At 41.7% G+C, this 27,231-nt stretch overlaps 1 protein-coding gene across 6 annotated transcripts in view; it reads left to right on the top strand.

The window, feature by feature from the left end:
* The window catches only part of PRKN (parkin RBR E3 ubiquitin protein ligase), a 1,380,350-nt gene that overhangs the window by 916,695 nt on the left and 436,424 nt on the right, over positions 1 to 27,231 (top strand). For all 6 annotated transcript variants that reach the window (XM_024446449.2, NM_013988.3, XM_011535863.2 and 3 more), the window contains one exon: positions 25,164 to 25,300. In XM_024446449.2, coding sequence (XP_024302217.1) covers positions 25,164 to 25,300 — 137 coding nt within the window. The remainder of the gene's footprint in view (positions 1 to 25,163; positions 25,301 to 27,231) is intronic.

The following is a 27,231-nucleotide window of genomic DNA, read 5'->3' as shown; positions in this document are numbered from 1 at the left end:
AAACTTTGATGATATTTCAAAAGGGATTATTTCGAATCTACAGATCATTTTGAGAATTACTATTTTACCAGATAGTCTTCCCTCTGCTTGGAGTACCCTTTCTTCCTCTTCCCCATCAGACGAACCCCTGCCCATCCTTAAAGATATAGCTCAAAAGACTTTCCTCCTCTGGGAAGCCTTCCTCAAGTTCCCCAGGTAAAGCTAGACACCACCTTGGCTGTATTTATGTCTCTGCTATAGCATACATCGTGTTGAATTTGAATTAGAATCCTAAGGATAATGACTGTATTTTATTTTTTGATTTTTCCAATGCCTAGTATAAGGTATATGCCATATGCTTAATAATTACTTGTCTAATAAGAAGTAAATACATGAATGTTGCAAATAATCATTTTTAGCATAGGTATTTTCATTTGAATGACTGTTACATAAGTAGTCACTCCTACAGTTAGCAGCCATGTCTTGATCCAAGGGAATGTCAGCTTCCCAACCAAGGTATGATGCTTTCTGTTTCAGAAAAAAAGCTTTTGTATATGGGTATAAAATGATGAAACGTTAGACGTTGTCTAGGACCTCCTCTTATCTCTAAATTTTAAGGAGGTCACACAGTAATTTATTATCAGTCTAGAATTCCAGTCTGTCATAATCCATTCAAGAGTTTTCTTAGACAAAACTAAAATATACATGTATATTAGTTTGCTCAGGCTGCCTACTACAGACCAGGTGGCTTAAATAACAGAAATGTATTTCCTCACAGACCAGAAGCCCAAGATCAAGGTGTTGAAAAGGTTGGTTTCTTCTGAGGCCTCTCTTCCTCGCTTGCAGATGGCTGTCTTCTCCCTGTATCTCCAGATGGGCTTCCCTCTGTACATATCTGTGTCATAGTCTCTGCTTCTTGTAAGGACTCCAGTCATGTTGAATTAAGTTCCACATATCTGACCTCATTTAACCTTAATTAACTCTTTGAAGGCCCCATCTCCAACTATAATCACATTCTGAGGCACTAGGGGTTAGGACTTCAATGCACGAATTTTAAGGGGGCACAGCTCAACCTGTAATACTATGTATGTATGAGTATGAATACTCATTATAAAGTTTGTTATATTTTATTAAACACATTTTTAAAAGTTTATTATTAAAAACACGTCCTAAGGGATTGAAAGAATTCCACATTGCTTTAGAGCAGAAACAGGCACACTTGTTTAGATTAGCTACTTAATAATTTGAAGCCAGTTTAACAGAAATGTAGAGTCTCAGGTGGTATCCTTCATCCACCTACATTCTTACATTCTGTTGATGATGTGGGACTTGTCTCTTGTAGTTTTTCAGTGTGAAGGGTGCCCTAAGTGCATTTGTCAAGGAAAAATTTATTATCAGTATAGGAAATTAAAATTTTATCACCAAAATGGAATGATTTATATTTTTAGTTTTCAAAAATTGATGAGTGAATAAGGTGACTTACATGTTAAATAATGTTAAATCCAAAAAATAGATATTTCCCTTAAGAAAAAAGTTCGCTACGCAGGACAATAAGCTATTAAGCAACTGGGATATTTGCTATTTTTTTTGTCGCTTTATTTCTAGAGCCCACACAGAACCAATAATTCCAAAATGCATATACCTTGACCCAGTTTCTCCCTAACATTTTTTTCTTAACATTGTTATCTAAACCCTTGACATTGTACTTCAGATTCATTGTCACCATAAATGCAAGTCCAGAATCCACCTCCTCACCTTCTCGTATGATCAAGTACCCAGCCCCAAGTGGTAATTCCTCAGGACTCGGGATTTCTGAGTCATCCCCCTTCCCCCCCTGCCTTTGAGGACTGTTGATGTGTGGGTAAGGGGTACACCCAATATGGTATTTATAACTAAAAAATATTTTCTATCTGTGTCATCCTTTCAACTTTAAAGTTAAATGAATATGATCTGACCGGGCTCTGTGGCTTATGCCTATAATCCCAGTACTTTGGGAGGCTGAGGTGGGCGGACTGCCTGAGCCCAGGAGTTTGAGATCAGCCTTGGCAACAAGTAGAAACCCCATCTCTACAAAATATACAAAAATTACCCAGGCATTGTGGTGCATGCCTGTGGTCCCAACTACTCAGGAGGCTGAAGTGGGAGGATCGATTGAGCTCAGGAGTTTGAGGCTACAGCGAACTGTGATCGCACCACCGCGCTCCAGCCTCAGCAACAGAGTGAGACCCTGTCTGAAAAACAAAACAAAACAAAACAGAACAAAATACCAGAATATGACTTTTATCGCAGTCTTGATAATGGAGTAAACTAAGTTTAATTACTTTTCATTTGTCATATGACTATGGCACCTTTTTGAAGTCCTCCCACCAAGATAAGGAGCATGGTTTGAAAATTGGAGAGTGTATTTTGTTGTTTCTTAGACTCATCTCTCAATACAATTAAAAATGCAGTTTAATCTCTTTTTAAGTTTTCATTTGAAAATTTCAAATTTATAGATAATACAAAAATAATATTAAGAACACCCTTTATAACATCTGTCACAGTTGAGCTATTGTTCATATTTCACCCTATTTGCTATATCTCCTTTTCTGTGTCTTTCAACACACACACGTTATTCATTACAATTTTCTGTACTATTTAAGAGAAATTTGCAGATATGATGGTCTTTTACTAATAAATACTTTAGTGTTCAGTTAAGCAACTTATATTCTCTTACATTAAGACAGTACAGTTATTCAAGTCAATTTAACATTGATACAGTGCTTTTATCTAAGTTACCAGCTGTTTTCCAATTTTGTCAGCTGACCCAATGATGTCCTTTGCAGAATAAAAATAATATTTTAAATTGAAAATTTAAATATTATTAGAAGATTGAGTAGTCTTAGAAGATTATTATGTGTTAAATAATGAAAATATGAGGGGTCTGTGATGAAAATATTAATAATCTTCCTGTCTTCATCATTTATACTAGTCCTGCCTGAGCTATGCAATGGTAAAAGTTAGGGGTACCTTATTCTGTATCTTAGAAATGAATAGATTAAGTCAATTACTCTGGAAAATTCAAGATCGCACAATACAGGAACTCAGACAGAAAATGTAAATGACATATCACTTCAGCACAATTAATTAAAAACTAAGCCAACATTATTTGTTTGTGGAGGGTGTGTGTACCTGTGGGTTGAATTGTGTTCCCAGAAAAAGATGTTGGGCCCTAATCTCTGGTACCTGTGAGTGGCAGTTTATTTGGAAATGGAGTCCTTGCAGATGTTATGAAGATCTAAGTTAAGATGAGGTTTTACTGGAGTAGGGTAGGGCCTTAATCAAATCTAACTGGTGTCCTTATAGGACGAGAGACAAGGGGAGGAGAGGGAAGACGTACAGAGGCAGTGTGATGTGAGGAGACACAGGGGAACTGCCCCTGGGGGACAGAGGCAGAGACTGGAGGGAGGCATCTCCAAGACAAGGAATGTGAAAGATTGCTGGCAACACCAGAAGCCAGGAAGAGGCAAGAAAGGCTCCTCTCCCAGGTTTCAGACGAAGCGTGGCCTTTGGTTTTTGACTTTCTACCTCCAGAGCTGTGAGAGAATCAATTTGTGTTTTTTTAGTTGCCTGGTTTGTGGTACTTTGTCATGGCAGCCCTAGCAATCTATGTGTATATGTATGTGTATATGTGTCTGTTTATGTGTGTATGCACCTGTGTGTGTCCATGTAGCTCTGTGCGTGTATGCATGTGTTTGTGTATATGCATGTGTATGTGTGCGTGTATCTTTGTGTATATATATGTTTGCATGCGTGTATCTGTGTATAAGCATGTTTATGTGTGTATGTGTGTGTATTCGTGTGTGTGTGCACACGTGTGACTGTTGCCTCCACCTCTCTTTACTGAAATCTCCGTATGGTTTAGTAACTGAAGGATTTATAGCAACAGAATATTGCTCGTTCTCATATCCTCAATGTAACACTTGGCTAATTAAACATAAACCTAACAAAATTGTACTGAGAAAAACATGAAATCATTTTTAGTACCTTTAGACTATTTTTAAAGTTTAACACTTACAGCGCAAATCAAAGGAATGAAGACAACCTTTTTGGAAATCGGTAACTACCATCCTCATTAGGTTCAGATGGAGCTTACAGTGGGAGTTAGGTGGGTTTTTATGCAGGTGGTGTTCGGATGATTTCTCACTATTTGCGAAAAATTTCACATGTTCTCAATTGATCCTGCGTGACTCTCTTTACAGCTTAATATCAAACATTTCTCCAACTCGATTATGGCCTCTTGAAGAAGGGTCTGTGTTTTCTATTTCTAAACAAAATTCCCCCAGATCCCCAATGCACATTCAAATACCAGATGGATGTTCAATAAAGGCTAAATTGACATTTAGGCAACAGCTTAGTGATGAATCTTGTCTTGCATCCTGCATTGGAGTGTTCCGTCCTACAGAATAAGAGCTGGGTGGAGGTGGAGAGCCTGCTCGCTCCTCCAGAATCAGAGCTCGGTGGAGAGCTGCCTCCTTCTCCAGCCTCCTCGAGGGATGACCTGGTGAGGTGCTTCATAGCCACATAGGGTCTGAACTCTCTCTTGTTGAAGAAACAAGAGAGACTGGGCAAGTCTGGCTTGTAAGTCTGACTGGGGAAGTTTTGCTGCTAAGGAGGGAACCTGTCCATGCAGAGTTCAGTATGAGTTGGGAAAGGAGAAATGATGCGGGTGCTTTCGAGTCCAAACATCATGCGCTGCCTCTGTCCTGTGTTCGGGAAGCCACAACCGTGAGTGCTGTTCCTGTGTGCGATATCAGGGCCCGTCAGTTCCAGGAGCGGTGGCCTCTGTGGGACCCTCTGCTGCAGATGGGCAGGCTGCTTCACTACTTTGGTGTCTAGCTGTCGCTGGTCATGTGTGAGCAACTGTGTTGTGGGGCAGGTTGGTAATGACATGGCTGCTTGGACGACCAATCACGTTGATCATCAGAGGCCTTGATTTTGAAGTGGACAGAAAATGAATCTCCAATATTTACGATGGAATTTCTTTTTTGATTTTGCTTCTGGGCACCAGTTCATCCCAGAAGGCCTATGCCAGGGAGTAGGCTGCTCTGTGGGGAAGAACTCGTCGACCCTAATGAGGAGCAGGACTTTCTCTTGGCTAAGCTTGCTAAGCAGAGCTGCTGACAGGCAGAAGCAGCACAGGTGTACGTGGACTTGCTGCATTTAGAGTGTTCCAGGCCAGGTGGACCCATGGGGCAAATAGGAGGGACAGCATCTATTCAAGGTGGAGCTGAGATGGATACCATCACCACTCCCCTCCACCCCCAACCACCCCGGCTCTCCATCAACAGCTGTTTCTCCTGCAATAAAGATCCTTCAGACACATCAAATGATAATTCTCCTGTGTTCTAGAAAACAGAATCCTTGCCTCATTGTAAAGCAAATGAAGTCAGAAGAGTGTGCAAACCAATGCACACAGAGGAGCCGGGGGTAGTGATGGCCATCGGAGGGCCTGCGCTGGAGCCCTGGAAGAGACTCACTAGAGCAACAGGAAATAGTAAAGACAGGATCTGGTCATCAGAAGATGAAAGCACAAACAGGGAGCTCTATGTGTACATGTGTGTGTACATGCATGTGTGTGTGTGTGTGTGTGTGTGTGTGCATGTGTGTACTCAGGAAGGCCACAGAAGGAGGGCTCCCTAGCGGGACCTCGATGGCATCCTCAGATGCTTATCCAGAAGAACGCTTCCAGATGTGATGAGGGTATAAGGTCTGTGAGGATGGATATTGGAAAAGGCACTGCTTCTGTGACACGATATGGAAATAAGCATCGAGTAAACATGAAGAACGAAGAACAGGCAGTTTCAAGTTGAGGCGACAGAGGGGATTTATTGACTTGGGGAAGATGATTTTTAACATACCAGCTGTGAATTGAGACACATTGTTTCTACAGTAGCCCAGGCAGAAAATTCATGACTGTATTCAGAAGCCTCCCACTGTTAAATTTCTTCAATTTGCATTCTTTTGTAGTGGGAGGCAAAGTGGAAATGTGGTTTAGTGGCCATACGATAACCTAGATTCTCATGACTTGTATGTTGAAACTCATAGTCTGAATGATGCCAAACCACTCTGTCACCTTTGGCAAGTTATTTAGTCTCAGTTAATAGTCCAACTTTCTTATCTATAAAAGTATTAATAGAAATTCAAGAAGACCTATTTACATATGTGGAAAATGTCAGGCTTAGAAAGTTGAGTACTGGATTAGGCCCTTCTGCCATAGCACTGCTCATAGACAGCAATAGATTGGGAAAATAGAATCTAGAATTTGTTTCCAAGTGCTGGAAGATGTTTGAAACTTTTTCAGTGTTTTGTGGTTATTATTGTTGCAGAACTCTAAAACGCATTGTTGGGACAATGTGTAGATGCAACAGAGTTTGCCAATTAATATATAGCTAAGTGTTATTAAAATAGATATATGATTTATTTTCTATGAATTGTCAACCTTGTCTCCAAATCTCTTCAATACACCAGAGTTTACTTCAATCCTTCCAAGTTACCTTCTCCTTCTCCTTATGGGTCCAACCTCACCAGTGGAGGGGAGGGAAGGGGATGGAGAGGGAGTTCAGAGGCAGATGGCAGAGGCAGATTTCAGATGTCCTTGCAGGATCCAGAGCTGAAGGCCACCAGCCTTGCCTTCCTCCTACATCGAGGCACGTTGGTGGAGCTGCCCCAAAGATTCTGTTCTGAAACCTAAAAACAGCTGGCAGCATCTGAGCACCTGCCTATCAGTGTCCACACTGCTCATCACCAGAGCCTCATAGATCAAGTTCTGCTGCTGCATCACCCCAAGTTCATTCAGGCCCCATTGTCCTCTCTCCTCTTGGGTGTCGAGCCTGCATTCAGGTGGCTCAGTGTCCTGGGAGATGGGTGGATACTCTGCGCTCTTCATTATTCGTGATTGTTAGGGAACCCTTGTGCTGCTCAGCCAATAATGACCTTCATTGACATTGAAACCTGTCCCTGAGGCGTCCGTGCACTTGCTATGTGTTACCGTCAGTGTTCTCCTGCTGTGGCAGCTGCAGGTCACCTGGAGGCTGTGCCACCCCCCATGTGTCTGATGGCAGCAGGCCCACTTCTGACCTCTACACATCGGCAACACCGCCTCCTTCTTTGGTTCCATCTTCTTTCATTCCTTTTAGCGAAATAGTACCTGACAAACTCCTGCTTCTCACTTTGGTGGGGGTTCGGACTTGAGGTCTTTGCTTCCTTTATGAAATGCATCTGTGTCGCAGACCCGCCACATGCCAGGAACTTAGGAGGCAGCAGTGCGGAAAAGCTCTCGGCCCTAATGCAGCTTCCCTTCTTGTGATAAGAGACAGACAATAGGTCACACATCTAATAAATCGGTAACTGTACAGAAGGTCACTGGTCAGCTATGGCTGAGTACTAAGAAACCGGGCAGCTCACTGGCCCCTGACACTACGTCCAGCCTTCTCACACCTCTCGGCTCCACCCGAGTTGAGCTGGGGCTGGGCTGAGCTTGGCCCTGCTTCGGGCAGTGAATGTGGATGTTTCCAGTCTGCTCAATGAGTCCATCATCCTTAAGCCAGTGGCTACCCAAGGACAGTTCTTCTCGTGGTGAAAGGCAGGAATTCAGAAGGGCAGGCCTCACCAAACAAGCACATGCCACGTACTGGATTATGTCACATACACTACTATCCTATTGGCAAAGGAAGCTGCAGGGGAGGCAAAGCTTTTCTTCTACCCAGAGTCCCAACTGGGCCTGAGAATGAAATAGACAGGAAACAGATGAACAGGAGGAAAGCATGCAAGTTTAATAAAAGCGTTATGTGACACAGGAGCCCTCATTAGGAAATGAAGACCCAAAGAAGTGGCAAAACCAGCATTCTTTTGTGTTGGGTTGAACCAGCAGAGGCAATTGTGGAAAAGTAACTCAAGTGTTTGGAGGCTAAGGGAAGATAAGGCATACATACCCTAATGAGGGCTGTTTGTGCAGAATTCACTCTGCTATAAGTCCCAATTGAAGAGTGGTTTTTCTCCTCATGCAAGGAGGGTGTCTTTCACATGGGAGTTTTCATCTCCTGTTTCCAGGTATAAAAGGGGAGATCAGAACACCCTTCTCACATCACCTGTTTTTTTCAAGGGCCTTTAGCTTTAAGTAATTATATGGCCAAAATGGCATATTTTGGGGTGACATATTCAGCCACCCTACAAAGCCACGTGGCTCAGCTCACCATCAACTGGATGGGGAAATATATGCAGCTTCTAACTGAGGAAAGACAAAGTCAGGTCAATGGCTGGGGAACAGGGAGGGTTGAGGCATTGCGAGTAAGAAGGCAAATCTACTATAGGAAGTGATTGATGTTATGGAGACAAAGACTAAAACAGGCCATGGGAATTGGGAATGTGGGAATGTAGGGTGGGGTCACCACCGTTTTACATGAGCAGGTGGTGGTTAGAGGGGCTCGTTGCAAAGGAGACATTGGAAGAGCTGCAGGAGGGCAGGGTGTGAGCCACGTGACCATTGGGGAAGCACGCTCGCACAGGAGGAGCCGGAGAAAGGCTGGGAGCCAGGTGTGTGTGGGGCATGTGTGGGTCATATGTGGGGTGTGTGGGGGGCGTGTGTGGGTCATATGTGGGGTGTGTGTGTGGGGCGTGTGTGGGTCATGTGGGGCTTGTGTGGGGTGTGTGTGTGTCATATGTGGGGCCTGTGTGGGGAGGGTCACAGAGTTCACTGAGCCTGGATCACAGCGAGTGGGAGAAGAGAAGGAGCTAAGGGACAGAGAAGGGGCAGTGTGGCAGGCTTAGAGGATGGATTAAAGTCACCATTAGGACTTGGACCTTTTTCTGAATGACCAGGGGGAGCCATTGCAGAGACTGAGCAGAGGAGTGAGAGGCTATAACTTTGATTTTGAAAGCATCTTCTGGTTGCTGTTTGGAGAATAATGACTCTTCCTCCAATGAGCCTTTGCTGAGATTGACACTAGCTTAGGTCAGCCTGTTCCTTAGTCTTCTCTACTCCTCTCCATTCTTGCAACTCTCGGTAACACTTCATTTAGCACGAATTCCTTGTTTGTGTATGTCACCTTCCTTGTGAATCTGCAAGTTCAATTTGAGGAGAAACTTTCTCTGCCTTGCCTGTTGTTTAACCCTCAGCACAACCATTAGTTGAATGAAGGAATGAAAACCAGAAATACCTGCTTGTATGCAAGCAGATTCCAGTGGGAGACAAGAAAAAGAGGGGTCCCTTCATTACATCCCATTGTTCACCCGAAACCTGGGGTGCCCAGTCCTGGACACACGCAGTTGCACAGGCCTTCCCTGCGCCTCACATCTGAAGCAGCTGGAGCCGGTCCTGGTCTTGACTGTGGGGAAGAAAGAGCTTCCAGTGAGGTGTGAGATGGAAGGTTAAAACCGGCTGATCTAAGGCCCGTTCGATTATTTTCATAACTGAAAAGCAGCCACAGGTAAAAGTGGCTGAAAGTCGTGGACTCTAGGTTGTTGCCCACTGTGTTTGACAGATGCACAGAGGCAGGTCTTAGAAACCGTGACACTGTTCGATGTTTATAGCTCAATAAGTTAAAGCCCCGTAATCAAATCAGTCACACGGTAATCTCAGCATTTCCTTGGGGTGGCCCCACCCGCTCCCATGGCTGTGATTGCCATCTCTCCATGGATGGGTCCCCAGGCCCTTTATAGCCCCATCTTTCTCCCGAAAGAACCGTGAACTAAACTGACTTCTGCACATCTTCGCTGGGACATCCCAAAGCCATCTCAAACTCAGCAAGCCTAGAACCAGAAGACTCAGTTTCCAGCCCTGCTGCTCCTCCAGTCACTGTACTGTGTCAGCAAATGTCCGTAGCATCCGCAGAGGCCGGGCCCTGGCATGCGGAATTGAGGAATGTGGGTGGAACTTATGCAGCGCTGGCTCTGGTGCCTGCTCCGTCACCGGTGGGCTGTGGACAGTGGGTGTTTGATAGCGCCCTAGGCCTCCGTTTCCTCCCGTGTCCTTCTCTATGGTAGGGATTTCACTGTTGTTGTCATGGGAGGGGTGGGGGAGCCATGCATTCATGCATTAAGCCACTATTTTTGGAGCTCCTCCTAGGTACAGGCCCAGCATTAGGCAGTGAGATTGCAGAGAAAACACAGGAGTGGGCCCTGCCCTCCAGAATCATTCTGCAGATCATTCTGCAGATTAAAATAGTGATGCCGAGAAAGCACTTAGCAGGAAACATGGCACATTAGAAGCATTCACTAAATGATGAGAAGAGTCACCAGACATTGTGCCTGAATCCCCTTTCTGACTCTGGTTAATGAGTCTCTGAATCTTGACAATTTTAGTTCCTAAATATCTGACACCTCCCACTTTTGTCCCCCAGTGCCGTCACTCCCCTGTTGAAGATATCAGCTATGGTCCCCCAACAGCCTCACGGGGCTTCATAGGCCAGACACTGCCCACAACAGGTCATCAGTGGGAGCAGAGCCCATGCATCCCATGCCCACTGCTCTGTGCCCAGCACTGGGCATGGTAGAGGGGATCAGTCAATCCAGTGGATGTTTTTTAAAGGGAGCTATAGTTTTAAAACTGTATTAATATAGTATTTTGTTACCAGGCTCATTATCATTTAATCTGGGCTCTAAGCAAAGATTTTAAATTTGCTTAGAACCAGAAAGGGTTCATTTCCATTTAAAGTAATATGAAAGGTGTGACTTTTAGAACCATGAACCCATGGATGTTGGGGCATGATTCTGAGATTTCCTAAAAAGCGAGAAATCTGCAAATGGTAGTAGGAAAGCAAAGCTAGGTAGGAGACATCAAGCACTCGATTGCCCCAAACATATTGTCTACCTGTCGTTGCCTCTCCCTCTCCACTGCTTGATCCACGGCACTCTCTTTTCTTACTTGGATGGCTTTCACCATGTCCATGCATCTCCCTTCCTTTGTAGCCCTGCTCCAGTCCATTCGTTACCTCAAGTTAGAGTGATTTTTTAAAACATAAATGGTATTATGTTGCATCCCTACTTAAAATTTTGTCCTGACTTGCCATTGTCCAAGCGCTGAATTCCTGAGTATGTCTTAAAGGCCCCATGTGGCTTCCTTCATCTCCTCAGACCTCATCTTGCTCCACTGCCTCCTTGGTAACTGTGTCCCCAAAACACTAACCCCCTGATTAATTCTTCACAAATGCCCAGCATTCCTACCTAAGTGCCTTTCCACTTGCTCCTTCCCTGCAAACCCTCTTACGCCAGACCTGCACATGGCTTGTCATTGAGATGGCAATGCAAATGTCCCATCCCCAGGCCTTCCCAGGCCACCCAGCATGGGCAGTGCACCAGCACTATCACATGATCCCATGGCATTTCCTTGCTGTCACTTTTCATTGCTAGTTTTTACTTGTTTGCTTAATACCTATCCCTTCCAATCTGAAGAGACAATGACATCCTGAATGCTAAGTGCCTGGCCCATAGTAGGCATGCAGTACATTTTTGTTCAATAAGGGAATCAATATGTTCTTTGTCCTATTTGCCCTCTTCAAAGTTCTTGTGCCTTTTCCTTTCCATTATGTGGAAGTCGCAAGTATTGGGTGCTCTCCAAACTGGACTCAGCTCTCTGAACGGATGAGCCTAACTCTGGCAGATGGGGGGAGATGGTGTTTTCAGCTTTTGACAGCAGTTGAATGGCTTAGCTCAAAACCAGTCATCTACTGCAGACCTCTGGACACTGCAAAAATTGTTGTTTGCCTCGCTTTTGTCCCTGTTCCTTGATAGTCATTCATTCCTTGAGTCAAACTGTCAGTCACTGAGAACATAAACATTGACCAAACACCAGCCACAGGCCAGGCATTGGGAATACAGAAAGATAGCCCTGTGTTTGTGGAGTCAACAGCCTCGAACAGGAATAAGCAAACATGTCCTGATAAGGGCCAAATAGGAAGTAACTTAGGCTTGGTGGCCCATCTAGGACCTGTCACAGCTAGTGAATGCTGCTATTATGGCACAAAAGCAGCCACGAGTAATATGTAAAATGGCTGGCTTCCAATAAAACTTTATTGGCAAAAGCAGTCTGAGGGCCAAATCCCAGTTTTCTGGCCTCTAGTCTGGCGAGAACATAGACATTGAAGCCAGTGGGTGAGTACCCCGGGGACCTGTGATGAAAAGGGTGAGGGCAGTGTGTGGGGGAGCCCCGAGCACAGTGGAGGGGCGCCTGACCCAGGGAGGCCCAGGCTGACCCAGGGAGCCTGTCTGCACAGGCTCTTCTTCCATGTAAGCGTGCCTGGCCCTGGTGATCAGCTGACTTAGTTGAAAAAAGAACAAAGGAGCCTTAAAACTAAAAGCTATATGTAATATTTTGTGGCCTTTTTTGTTTTTAACACCAAAACATCTTTTCTGATCTTCCTGGAATACTCTGGATCAAGATCTCCCTCTCATAAGTCTCCCAGGGAGTAAAATCTCTAGAAATCTCCAGTTTCTCACCCTTGCTTGCAGCATATGCATTAATTCAAGAAAGGTGAAATCCAAAATATGAATAGGCTTTGTATGTGCTTTCAAGTGAGGATTAAGTCCTACAAGCTTTCGATAAAAAAGAAATGTTGTGATCATATAAATTGAAGATGGCAATACCTCTATATCCAGAAAGTCTCTGGAGATGGTCCCATCTAACCTGCTGATGTCACAGGTCCTCGTTTCACAGAAATGGGATTCTGAGGCCAGCTAATGCTGCAGCCGGCTCACACCACCCTCCTAGGGCTCTTTACAAACCTCGCTCAACCACCAGCTGCATCCCATGTGCTGGGTGGACAGTCACATCTTTGCATGAATTCCTTTATCTTGGGTTTGCACCTGAACTCATTTTTTTTGTTTGTTTGGTTTGGTTTGTTTGCTTGTTTGTTTTGAGAAGGAGTCTCCCTCTGTCACCCAGGCTGGAGTGCAGTGGTGCGATCTCAGCTCACTGCAACCTCCGCCTCCTGAGTTCAAGCCATTCTCCCGCCTTAGCCTCCCAAGTAGCTGGGACTACAGGTGCGTGCCACCACGCCCGATTAATTTTTTGTAGTTTTAGTAGAGACAGGGTTTCACCATGTTAGCCAGAATGGTCTTGATCTCCTCACCTGGTGATCCACCCACCTCGGCCTCCCAAAGTGCTGGGATTACAGGCATGAGCCACTGCGCCTGGCTCTGAATTCATTTTGATTTGTATTGTTATGCCATATTGATTTTTATTATATTTTGGAAAATACTTTGGGATGGTATACAATCCTTTTCTGGATACACGTAAAACAAGCAAAAACAACTAAGTTGGGAAAATAATTTTATCTACTATATGCCAGAAATTCTTATGTCAATATTTTAATGCTGAACTCATCTAATGATACCTTAGAAATTTCACAGTACCTTCTCATGTTGAGACATTTTCATTGTTGAACTGTTTTAAGATGTCTACAATCTTTTCGGCAGACTCCTCATTTCAAACCACTCTACTTCAGACAACCTGATTTTTAAATATTCCTCTAATAAAAGAAATAAAAGGCCCACTGGGCACAGTAGCTCTTGCCTTTAAATCCCAGCAGTTTGGGAGGCTGAGGCAGGTGGATCACTTGAGGTCAGGAGCTTGAGACCAGCCTGGCCAACATGGCGAAACCCCATCTACTAAAAATACACAAATTAGCCAGATGTGGTGGTGTGTGCCTATAGTCCCAGCTACGTAGGGGGCTGAGGCACAAGAATCACTTGAACCCAGGAGGCAGAGGTTGCAGTGAGCCGGAGGTTGTAGAGCCAAGATCGTGCCACTGCACTCCAGCCTGGGTGACCGAGTGAGACTCTGTCTCAAAAAAACAGAAAGAAAGAAAGAATAAAAAGAAAAGAAAAGACCCAGCATACGATTACATTCATTCATTTTAAGAATGAATGAAAAACCGGTACACAATTGTTTGTGCAGGGTTTTGGTGAGTCAACAGCAAAAGATGTATCTTTTTAAAACCACTCTGTGTCTGAAATAATTTCTTATGTTAAATAGCTTCTAACATTTATGGCCACTGGACTGATTCTTAGCACATTAATTCTTCCTGTCATGAGGTTTGGGGATACATCAGAACAATTTATTTCACAGTGGGGTTCTTATCCAAACAAGATCTGTCTTCATATCTTTCTCAATTTAGCAGAATGCTTTTGCAGTGGATCTGGGCATTATCTGCTTCTAGCTGTTTTGCACAGAGGCAAAAACAAAGACAAGATATGTGCATGAGTTAGTATGTATTACAGATGGCATCTCCAACAGCTAAATAGTTGTGCCACATAACAGCTCTGTGCAAATGATATGACCCAGAAACTATTTTATGTTAAATCTGGCTTGAGCTTTTTTTAGTTATACATATCGACAGTCTGAATAGAATGTGACCTGAAATTAGAGTCTGAAGAACTTGGACTATTATAAACGTAATTTTGAGCATCCTTGAAAAAACATAACTCCATTAACTGGGGGATAGGAAAGTATCGTGATAATTTTTTATGAGCTGCGTTTTTCTCCCATGGGCCAAATACCCTTTGGAATTTTTAGTTTCTTTTCTTTTCTTTTTACACGCAACAATTATTTCATTATGATTTATCCACTATTTACAATTACATGTCAGTGTCTGTTTTCTAGTATAAAAGCCTCGGCAAGAAAGCTAGGGTAAACCAAATCATTCTAACAAATTACTACAAAACAGGACTGACATCTTTGCTTTTAACTTACTTTTTAAAAAGAACAGAAGTTAATTTTTTTATTTCTAATATCTCTTGTTACATTGTAATGTTTTCAATCTAGCACTTTGAGAAGTTAATGGGTTATGTTTGGGTTCAACCTGTCAACAGTAATTATATTTAGAAATGCAATACACAAATTAGACTAAAGGCAAATGGGTATCTTCCAGGACTGAAATCATCTGGAGAAAATTAATAATACATTAATTCCATCTTGTAATCGTGGCTTTGTATTTCTATTTTGCGTAGCCAGTTTATTGTCAATGGCTCAAAATGTTGTAAACAATGGAACCCAATTCAACCACACTTGGGATATTATATAAACCTAAAACGCAGATTTATGTATGTGGCTTATAGAAGCATTATCATTATATTTTAATATAATTTTTAATTTCTGGAAGAATTTGGGACTTTAATAAAGCCTGAGAAGACAGTATGAAAATACCGTATACAGCATGGTTCCCTGATCTTACCTAATTTTACTCCATCTGAAGTGTTTTCACATCTTTTTCCCACTTCCCTATAGTTTCTTGGTCAGGCTAACTCATTTTTGCTTTTTCGGCCTTAGTTTGTATTTTCCTTCTTTCAGGAAATATCCTGTGCCTGACCAACATTGGACTGAGTGGCCTCTTATTAGATCTTCCAAGGTGTCCCTGACTGAGTTTTCTCATCATCAGACAGACTTCCTGAGAGCAACAGCTGCATCCCCCTCTCAGGTCTAGTGCAGGGACCGGTGCATAGTAGCCTTCCAATTAGTATATGTTGAATTTGAGTTGGAGAGACCTGGTGCAGGTTCATAAAGCAGGTAGAAAACAATACAAAGGAGGCTGGACTCGGTGGCTCACACCTGTAATCCCAGCACTGGGAGGCTGAGGCGGGCGGATCACTTGAGGTCAGGAGTTCAAGACCAGCCTGGCCAACATGGCGAGACCCCATCTCTACCAAAAATAGGAAAGATTAGCCAGGCATGGTGGCAGGTGACTGTAGTCCCAGCTACTTGGGAGGCTGAGGCATGAGAATCATTTGAACCTGGGAGACGAAGGCTACAGTGAGCCGAGATTGCGCCACTGCACTCCAGCCTGAGCTAGAGAGTGAGACCCTGTCTCAGAAAAGAAAAAAAAAAAAAAAGAAAAGAAAACAGTAATACAAATAACATGTAATAATACTAAGTTAGGCCAGGCACGGTGACTCATGCCTGTAATCCCAGCACTTTGGGAGGCCGAGGCGGGTGGATCATGAGGTCAGGAGATTGAGACCATCCTGGCTAGCTTGGTGAAACCCCGTCTCTACTAAAAATACAAAAAATTAGCTGGGTGTGGTGGTGGGTGCCTGTAGTCCCAGCTACTCGGGAGGCTGAGGCAAGAGAATGGCGTGAACCCGGGAGGCGGAGCTTGCAGTGAGCTGAGATCGCGCCACTGCACTCCAGCCTGGGTGACAGAACGAGACTCCACCTCAAAAAAAAAATGCTAAGTTAAATATAAAAGCAATACTTTCTAAATGTAAACATTACAAGAAATTAGACAGTGAATAGCACATCGATGTTATCTGGAGTTTTATTGAAAAAGCTTATGGGGGAGGTTGCGCCTCAGCTGAACCTTGTAGTTTTGGGGGGAATAAGGACTAAGAGGAGGAGTCTTGCCTGTAGGGATGGGAGCATAAGGAAGAAAGCAGCAAAGAGACTGACTTGAGAGAAACAGAGGGATTCGTGAATGGGAAAGAGGGAAAGACATTCCATAGGGTGAATCCAGCTTATGGAGGCTCCAAAAGATAGAAGAAAAACCTGAGGCCTTAATACATGGGCACTGCGAAACTAGTTCATATTTTGGGGCCAAGAACTGTCAGGATGGAAGCCTCTTTAGAACAGTGTTGCTGGGGTGAGCTGCTGGGATCAGACAGGGGGTCCAGGGAGGGAAGAGGGGATGGAGACAGCCTCGGTGCTGATGTAGGTCTTGGCCAGACAGACGCTCGTGAGAATTCAGACTCCGCCAACACTCATGAGACCTAATCCATTGCTCTGGGGCACACTGCACCGTGGCCACTCCTAAATCTTGACTCAATTATTTTTATAGCACCTGTGTTGCAGACTCTCAACCTCAGCAGGTATATATTGAAGGGAGTATGTCTGCAACAGAAAAAGTGGCTGTTACTTGAAACTTTTCTATTTCCTTTCATGACAGTAAATAAAATGAGTTAACCTATCAATGGGAACATAATTAATTTGATAGGGAACTTTTAAATAAAAAAATTCCAGGTAGACACAAGCCAATGCCACGAGATGCATAAAATCAAGTCGTTGCCCAGGAGTGAAAGGGAACGTGCCTGACAGGAGGGTCCACAGAGTGCCGAGGGCAGATAGCAGCAGAGTCAAACTTGGAAACAAACACCGAGGTTAGAAAGTCTCTTGAATTTAACAATATTGAATACCCCAGATGGGATGTTGACTTACTGGATGAGAATTTAAGAGGAGAAGGGAACTCTTAGGAAAGGAGATAGAGAATTTATATTTTCATAATCCTTTGTAACATATTTACAATATTATTTTATGTAGTAATTTGTTAAAAACCTTTATAAACAGGAAAAGCCATTTAGTTTGTTCAGCCTCTTCTCACTATATAGACTGGATGCACTGAGCCATGAGCTATCTTGGGAGCCCTTCCTCCAACCCCAGAGATAGGCTAGGTGTCTCCAAATTCATCCTTATGGTAGTGCTTACCACACTATGAATAATTAATTATTTGTCTTCAACTCTATAGACTGTGACCTCCTGAGGAGATGGAACATTCTTGTTCACTTTTATAGGATGTGACATGACACTGCCTGGCATCTAGTGGCCGGTCCACTGTGTTGGCAGAATGGGTGAATAAAAGTGATTCAAAAATGTAGACATAAATGAATTTTACCTTGGCTACGTTGTATATGCTGAAATATTGGGACTTCTGCAAATAAGCTTACAGAACCAAAGTAAACCCTCTTCCATGCAGCAGAGTGGACTGGATAAAACAGGGAGAACATGAGCAGAGGAGGCAAGAAAAACCAGAAGGGGTAGTTAGTGAGCTGATTCAGGATCTGCCAGTGCCTTAATAGGACTGTGATTCTAAGCAGGCCAATGGACAACTGAACTGATTTCAGGATTTTAGACTTGGCTGCTGGAAGGAATTTTGAAGATCATTCAACTGTTGAAGCTTATGTTAATTTCTAAAAGTTGAGTCTATCAATTAGTATCTCGGAGCAGGCTCCTCTCCAGTGAGGGGGGTTGCTCACTTGGCTAATTCAAATAATGAACTCATACGACCCACGTGGGCTGAAATGCTCTCTCTGGCATTGTTGTGGGCAGGCGCTGTGCCGGTTACTTCTTTGTCAGTCGTGCACTTTGGCAATTAGTATGTAATTTTGCCAAATATAGATCAAATTAAAATGCATTTGGTCTCTGAGATTTCAGTCATTTATTTCTTGTTTATAAGCCATCTCTAACTAAAAGGGGCTTAAAGTGACAGTCGTTAAGAAGATAAATTCATGTTTTTTAATGGTGTAGCTTTCCTCTTTTAATTACTTTTATCTAATCAAATACTGTGTTAAATGCCCAGGAGTCATAGTTCTCCATGTGTGGAGTTTGCAGAGAGCTTTGAAAGATTGCTAACTGGGGCATGACTTCTGTGTTACTATTGCACAAACTAAGAACAGTGGAAACAATGTGTGAATTTTCAAGGGTCAAGTGTTAGCTAAATTGCAAGACTCTCTCCCTCAAGTGAGGAAATTTAGTTTTTATTTCCTCAAGGATTTTGCACGTAATATTTTTATTTTAACTTGTGCTGCTTTTCATTGCATTTCAGATGCTGCTGCTCTTCATACATATGTAATAACTTTGCTTTCCACTGGGGAGAATGAAGAAACCAGCCACTCTTGATAACTGAGCATTCTCTTTTCCTGCTCTGTGCTTTCACAGCTCCATTCTTTTCTCTTGACCTCAGGTGTTGTCTGCATCTTTATGCACTGGAATCCTGACCGTTTTTCAAATGCCCCTACATTCATGAATTCTTTTCTGGTCTTCAACCTATATATGACCTCCTCCTCCTCTGAACCTGAATTAGTTAGATATTGCTGAATAACAAAGTATCCCATAACTTAGTGGCTGAAGAAAATAATAAACATTGCCTCTCACAGTTTCAGCAGGTCAGGAATTTGGGAGCAAGTTAGCTGGATAGTTCTTGCTCAGGGTATCTCATGCAGTTATAGTCAAAATATCAGCCAGGGCTTCAGTCATCCTAGGGCTTGCCAACTGGCTGCCAAGTAGATGCCAGCTGTTGTTAGAAGGCCCCAGTTTCTTGCTACATGGACTTCACCATAGTACTGCTTGAGTGTCCTCCCAACATGGCTGCTCGCTTTCCTCAGAGCAAGTGATCTGTAAGAGCACAGACAGAGGCTGCGGTGTCTTTTCTGACCTACTCTTGGAAGTCACACATTGCCGTTTCTGCACTTTTCCTATTGCATGTGAGTCAATCCATTCAATGTGGAGAGGAACTACAGAGGAGGTGGAGCTCACTGGAGAACATCTTGAAGGCTGCTTACCCCAGAGCGTGAGCGTGGCAATATATCCTATCTCTCTAACATGACTTAAAATATTCTGTCCTGTATAGTAAGTATTTGTTTCCCTCTCCTGCCCACTCTACTGGATTTATATGTCCTTGAGAGCTTAGATTTGCTTCCTCATCTTTGCATAGCTTGAAATATCTGGCACATTGCTTTCGATATATGTCACATTTCATCCACAGCCTCTCTCTTAATGAGTATAAATGAAGATGTACACATGGGAAAGAATCAGGCAAATGGAGAGAAAGAGAAACAGACAGATTTTGCCAGAGAGTGTGTGAAGGAGGGCAAATGAGAGAGAACAAACAAGGTGGACAGCAGAGTAAATTGCACATTTTTCTAGATAAACATAAAAACTCGCATGCTATTTTTGTAGATGCTAGAATACTAACTTTACAAGAATTTAAATATTTGGAACACTGTGTAACCATATTCTACTTTTTTAATGTATGTGAATGACTTGCCACATTATTTGTAACTCAAACTCCTTCAATTGTGCTTAAATATTCTGCAAACAAAGGGTCGCTTTTTATCAAAACAGAGAAATCATTGGTTACAAATAACTCTTTGGCATTGTCAAGGAAAGCATTTATAAGTCTTTTTATATATAATTGAGAACTTTACTTAACCTTTAATTTACCGCTCTTTAACCTGGCCCATTGGGGTGAAATCATCTCTGGATCGATCAATTAACATTTATATGTAGATAATTAGAGCAAAGGGCACACAGGAATGTCAGGAGGAACAAAAGACCCATGAGAGGATAAGTCCTGGCGGGTCCTGCTCTGAAATGTCACCCGTTCTTCTTCTCATTTCCACTCCCAGAGCCATTTGCACATCATAGTCCAGTTCTTAGTAACTCATGTCTAAATTATCAAAATGACCTCAAGTAGTTCTCACTACTTCCAGCTTTCCCTCCATACTTCTGTCGGAGCTAAACTTACTAAAACATCATTCCCTTCCCATGTTTAAAAACTCTCTTAGTACATTCTGGCTGCTATAACAAAATCCCATAAACTGGTGGCTTATAAACAACAGGAATTTATTTCTCACGGTTCCGGAGACTGGGAAGTCCTAGATCAAAGCACTGGCAGATCCAGTGTCTGGTGAGATCCCCACTTCCTGGTTCATAGACGGTGGCTTCTCACTGTGTCCTCATATGGTGGAACGTGTGTGGGAGCTTTCCGGGGTCTCTTTAAAAGGGCACTCATTTTATTCATGAGGGCTCTTCTCTCACACCATTCACTTCCTAAAGACCCCGTGTTCTAACACCATCATTTTGGAGATAAGGATTTTAACATACGAATTTTGGGGAACACAAACATTCAGACCATAGCAGAAACCTTCAGTGAATCCCACAGTCTAGAGGCCTTATGCTAGGTGTGTCTCCTAGAGTCAACCCTGATCCCTGGCCAGAATCTCCTCTGTTCTCAACTCTTTTCATCTTGTCCCCCACCATTTTCCTGATACATCTTTTTGATCAGCCCACCTGATTTCTCTTCTGTTCCAAGCATACTTGCATGTCTGTGATTCCTTCCTGCTTAGAAACAACATTTCTTTCCAGTGACCAAACATCAATCCTCCCGTTTCTTTAAATTCAATTCAAGTTCCCTAATGGATCCATCCTGACTCAATAATTCTCTTTTCCTAACTTTCGGGCTCCCAGAGTTTGGGGATTACAGATACTTCCTTGTAATACTTGTTCCATGGTAATCTTATGTCTCTCAACTACGCCCTGTGATTGTGTAAGCCAAGTATAACTATAAGGTATTTATCCACTCACTGGGTGCTGTAGTCCACATGCATTTACTAAGTGCCTACTTTAGTCAAAGTAGATGTTCAATAAGAAATTTAGTGAACAACATGTAAATGAGAGCAGAGAAATTATAAAAGTATGAGAAACTACAAAAATAGTGACCCATTCATTTATCCACTAGAATAATCAATAACTCTTGATTACAAAACGATCAGGTGCTCAGCATTGTATTTGATGAGGCATGGGTCATGAAAGGGTTAAGCAAGTAGGGTCTCTACAATTTCATGACTTTTCATTTAATGTTGATAGCTAAGGAAGGAGTATATGAAACACTTTAAACAAAAGTCAGGCCAGTATTGAAGTACATTACAGATGAACTTTTTAAATAACTATTGAAGAAAGGTAAAGAAAAAGGGAAGAGGCAGTGAGGTGTTAGGCTCCAGAGAAAGTTCCTTGGAGATCTTTAGTCTTGAACTGGACCTAGGAATTTGTGATTTGGCTTTGAATATGAAGGTGAGTATTACCGTGAGACTAGATGGCAAAGAGCATGCATCTAGGTGTACAGGAACTAGAAGAATCCTAGGCTACGCAAGGACCTTCCCAGCTGGAGGGGACGGAGGTGCGGAGAGAACAGGATGGACGGTAGGGGAGGGGCAGTTTATTTTACGAGGATGAAATGAAAGGAAGTCTGCGAAGTTCCTAGCAAGCCACCTAACCCGAAGTAGGTGCCCATAAACACTAGCTTTCCCCTCCTCTTTGATTTAGCATTTAGGAAGTTAATGATGTAGACCTTCTAGCCATGAAAAGATTTTTACTCCTTTCCTTAGGTGATTAATCTAATAACTTTTTATTGGTGTCATGTTTATTCCTCACCTAACTTTCCAAAACTACAAGGAATATCTTAATAGGAGAGGAGCAATCTTAGCTCACAGCTGTATCAAGAATTCCAGGTGACTGATAATTCTATGTGAAATGCACATATACACCGTCTTTATAACATTATCTGTGTATGTGCGTGTGTGTGTATAAAGGCAGCATATATACTTTTCTATATCTTCATCTGTGTATCTTAGCACATACATTCATATATTGATATCTGTATCTATCATTTATCTATATCTGTATATAGGTATATATCCAAGTTGACTGTGTATGTATAGTAATAGACAATCAGAATTCCTGAATGACTCATTTATCATTTTTGACTCCCTGTAACTTGTAAATTTCTTTCTTTTCCGAAGAGGACATGCAGAAACACACACAACATTCCAGCTTCCCCGGTTGCATTCCACACCTGCGTCTGGGCAGTGGCGTTTCTTCAAGGGAGTTACATGAGTCTCTGTCTTCACTTCCAATGCTAGTCCCTTCACTGCTCACTCTCTGGTAACCCACTGTTACCTGGTGCCAATTTCTCCTATTTTTTATTCAAGGTAGACATCCTCAGTTCAAGGAGGTTGAGGTGGCCTGGTGCAGCTGTAGCTTAGTTTTCAGTAGGACTCTTCCTGTGTCCCTAGGAAGATACACTTCACTCTGTGGGAACCAAAACTCTGGACCCACCGCATCTGCAGCTGTCTATGCTTCACTGCCAGTTGCAGGATGGGTAAGATGGACTATTTATATTGGAAGGTGTGCACTTCCAGGCCCCAAGACTTGGACCTCTAAACTTTCCCTAATGTCCCTAATGGCTCCTGTCACTGCACAGGGTTGATTTCACACCATGGCCGCCAACGTAGTGCTTGTTTCTTGTTAATGTTCTCCAAATAGCAGGATGTCATTAATAGAGTAGGACAATTGATGTTCCATGTGTTGTCTAGATGGTATGAGTCATTTGGGATCATATTAAAACTGAAGGAGACAACTATAGAAGTGTGCTGTTGTCCATCCATGTGAGAGAGAACTCTTCTAACAGGAATGGAAAAGCCTGCAGAAGCTACACTGATGGCCGCATACCACGCAGCCATGGCTTTCTGGGCCACTGTGGCGGGAGTTCGTGGGCTGACCATTTAGGCTCTGTAAGTTTTCTTTATGTTTCCTCTACAGGGTCATTTCTAAGCTTTTTTGTTTGTTTGTTTTTGAGGCAGAGCCTCACTCTGTAGCCCAGGCTGGAGTGCAGTGGTGCGATCTCGGCTCACTGCAAGCTCCCGCGTTCATGCCATTCACCTGCCTCAGCCTCCTGAGTAGCTGGGATTACAGGCGCCCGCCACCACGCCGGGCTAATTTTTTGTATTTTTGGTAGAGACGGGCTTTCGCTGTGTTAGCCAGGATGATCTCCATCTCCTGACCTCGTGATCCGCCTGCCTCAGCCTCCCAAAGTGCTGGGATTACAGGCGTGAGCCACCACGCCTGGCCTCTAAGCTTTCTTTTTAACTTTGTTATATACAGGCACATTTTCATAAATGTTCTAATATTTTCTCCATGAATTAGTAGCAGATTGGGAGGTCTATAAAGGTTTTAGTCTACCATGTTGCTGAAAGCAAGATGGAGAATATTTTTCACATAACAGCTGTGAGAGAAAAAGGTAGAATACAGCAGCTTCATAGGGTCGCAAAGTGAAAAAAGTATGTGTGTGCTTGAGCATGTGTATGCGAGTGACTGTTTGGTTAGAAATAGGAAAGCATTATGAAGGACTTGGATAGGTTCCAAGAGGGGAAAGGAGAAGCCGCACCTTTAGGTGCGCCCTTGCTCAGATTAAGTTGACCGATTACTTACACATCCATGGCATTAAAATACCAAGGAATTGTATTTTCTTTGTTTGTATTACATATTGCTTTGAAGTAAGTGGGATAACAGAATTTTGAAAATCTTTTAGGTGTTAAGAAATTATCTTTTATATTATTAGTATTATTCATTTCTCTAGAAAAAGGGCTTTTGAAGAGCTCTTATAGGCGTTAAAGATTGGGTATAAAATGAACATGTTTATTTTGTATTTTGTTACAATTACATAGGAAATAGGCTTATCTAAATAGACTCCAATAACTTTCTTACTATTAAAATCGCCTTGGGGCTGATTTCAAATTCATGTATTGAGCTTGTCTCCTGTTTGACATAAACTTGTGTGGTTCGTTTTCCAGTAAAAATACATGGCTTTTAAGATTTTTTTTTCTACAGAGTATTTTAAAGGGATAAAAAAAATTAGGATTTATATATATTGATTAATTAGTAATCCCATAACCATACTCTGAGAAACTGAATATTTGGATGGTTTCGAGATGGCACAATAGACAAAATCTTGCAGTAGAAGAATCCCTGTTGGATAACCTTTTATCCCTAAATTCTACTTTTTTATTTGCCAATAAAATGTGAGAAAATGTTTAACGTTTTTACTTTGATGCAATAGTAATTTTTCTTTTGATAGTGGGGAAATTCAGATTCTATTGTTATAACATAGTTATAATTAAATTACCAAGGAATTTTATTTTCTTTGTTTTGTATTACATATTGCTTTAAAATAAGTGGGATAGCAGAATTTTGAAAATCTGTTATTTCACTGTTGAATTTTCTCTAATTATGTTTATGGGATTACTAGTAAATCACTATATACAAGTCCTAAATTTTTTTGATTCCCTTAAAATACTTTGGAGGAAAAAAATATTTAAAATGTTTTAAAGATTTAAATTTTTAAAACATTCATTTAAAACTTTACAATGCCTGGTACTATGGGAATAGCAAAATAAACATAGGAACTACTTTCCAGGAGATCACAGTCTATGAGAAAGGAGAAGATATGAATACTGTGGTGTAATAACGGATCAATAGAAATATATACAAGCAGATGGGATGATTTGATAGGTTAATTGGGAATTCTGAGTCAGGGAAGACTTCCAGAAAGAGATTATATTTTAGCTCAGGTTTAATCAAAAGATTGATAAATGTGTTAACATAAAAAATGTAAAATTAGGAGAATCAGTTTTCTATGTAGTTCATTGAGTGCCTCCAATTTTTAAGATGTTGTGTTGGTATACATGAGCTTAATGCTTAGCAGCTCCGGTCTTTGCACAGAGCACAGTCTACACAACCCTCCAGGATTACAGAAATTGGTCTAAAGCACGTGCTGCCTTTCCACACTGACAGGTACTAGAGGAAACATCTTCCTTTCTCTCTGCAGGAGCCCCGTCCTGGTTTTCCAGTGCAACTCCCGCCACGTGATTTGCTTAGACTGTTTCCACTTATACTGTGTGACAAGACTCAATGATCGGCAGTTTGTTCACGACCCTCAACTTGGCTACTCCCTGCCTTGTGTGGGTAAGTCTAGCATGTTTTCTCTCCATCTCTAATGCTAATGAAGAACAGAAGAACAATTATTGATGTAAAACTGGCTTAGATATACGTAAACCCTAGCAGAAGAATTTAAATTTGATCATTGCTGGATATGAAACATTAATGTTTGGATCGCAAAAGATAAAAGTTCTGGGGAATGAAGGAATTGTGTTGAACTGGAAAATGCATTATTTGCATAAAGGCATTGAGAATAAGTTTGTCAATATTATTCAGCCAAGGTATACTAAGTTTTTCTGTGGGTTAGAGTCACTCTCCATGTTCTAGATTTGTTACCGTGGAACTAGAGCAGTATTACCTAATTTTTAAATCGTATACCTCTATCACTCAAAATGTTGAACACATACCCAATATATATAAAATAACATATGTGAAAAAGAAAGCAGAATGAGATAAACCTGAACTACTTAATATTTTATCTTTTCACATTACAAAGCACCCTTTACTTGTACTATACTGTTATTACATATATACATTTTAATGGAAGTGAAATTCATGTAACCAATTAACCATTTACAAGTGTACAATTCAGTGGCATTTTGTGCATTCACAATGTTGCACAACCACTACCTCTGCCTGGCTTCAAAACTTTCTGAACACCTCCTACCCAGCTAATCACTGCCTGTGACCCCCTGTCCTAGCCCTGGCCACCACCAATCACTTTCTTTCTCTATGGATTTGCCTATTGTAGGTATTTCCTATAAAAGAAATCGTACAATAGGTGACCTTTCGTGTCTGCCTTATTTCACTTAGCATAGTGTATTTGAGGTTTATTCAAGTTGTAGCGTGTATGAATATTTCTTTCCTCTTTGTGGCTGAATAATATTCCACTGTGTGGATACCCCACAATTTGTGTGTCCATTCATCTGCTGATGGGCATTTGTGTTGTTTCCGTCTTTTTGGCTATTATGAATAATGCCGTTGTAAACATTCATATATAAGTTTCTGTATGAACATTTGCTTTCATTTACCTTGGATATATACCGAGAAGCAGAATTCGAAGTTTAACCTTTAGGAGAACTGCCCACTGTGTTCCACAGCTGCTGTACCGTTTTATATTGCCACCAGCAGTGTAGCAATGTCCCAGGTTTCTCTCTCTCCACATTCTTGTCGTCACTTGTTACTGTTTCTAACTAGTCATCCTAGTAAGTGTGAAGTGGTGTCTTATTGTGGATTTGATTTTCATTTCTCTAATGACTGTGATGTTGATTATCTTAATTCATATCTCTTCCTTATAAGAATGTCGGTTCAAGTCCTTTCTTTGCTCATTTTTAAATTGAGTTATGTTTTTGTTGTTGAGTTGTAAGAGTTCTTTATATATTCTGGATACTGGATCCTTACCAGATATAGGATATGCACATATTTCTCCCATTCTATAGGTTGTCTTTTCACTTTCTTCATAACGTCCTTTGGTGAACAAAAGTTTCTAGTTTTGATGAAATGCAATTTATCTGTTTTTGTTGTTGTTGCTAATACTTTTTGTGTCAAACAAAAGACTTCATTGCCATATCTGAGATCATGATGATTTGCTTCCATATTTTCTACCAATAGCTTACCTCTTGTATTTAGGTCATTAATCTAGTTTGAGGTAATTTATGTACCTGGAGTGAAGTAAAAGTTCCTATCTCTCTCTATGTATAAATGACTGCAATGTGACTAAATATGTTTCATTAATTCTTCAAAACTTAATTTGAAACTATGGGATACCTTGACTCAATGGTGAGGTTTTAAGTTCAATTTATTTCAAGATTTAGTTTTAATGTCAATTATAGCTGAAAAATATACCTCCAAATGATAAAAAGATCCAAATGGAATAAATTAATTTCTTTGTTGACTTTGTAAATTATGATACTCACTTTTAAGCATATCTACCAATAATGCAATGATTTTTAAAACTA

The sequence above is a fragment of the Homo sapiens genome, chromosome 6, assembly GCF_000001405.40.
Source record: "Homo sapiens chromosome 6, GRCh38.p14 Primary Assembly".
NCBI classification, from domain to species: domain Eukaryota; kingdom Metazoa; phylum Chordata; class Mammalia; order Primates; family Hominidae; genus Homo; species Homo sapiens.
This window is presented reverse-complemented; position numbering and strand designations above follow the sequence as displayed.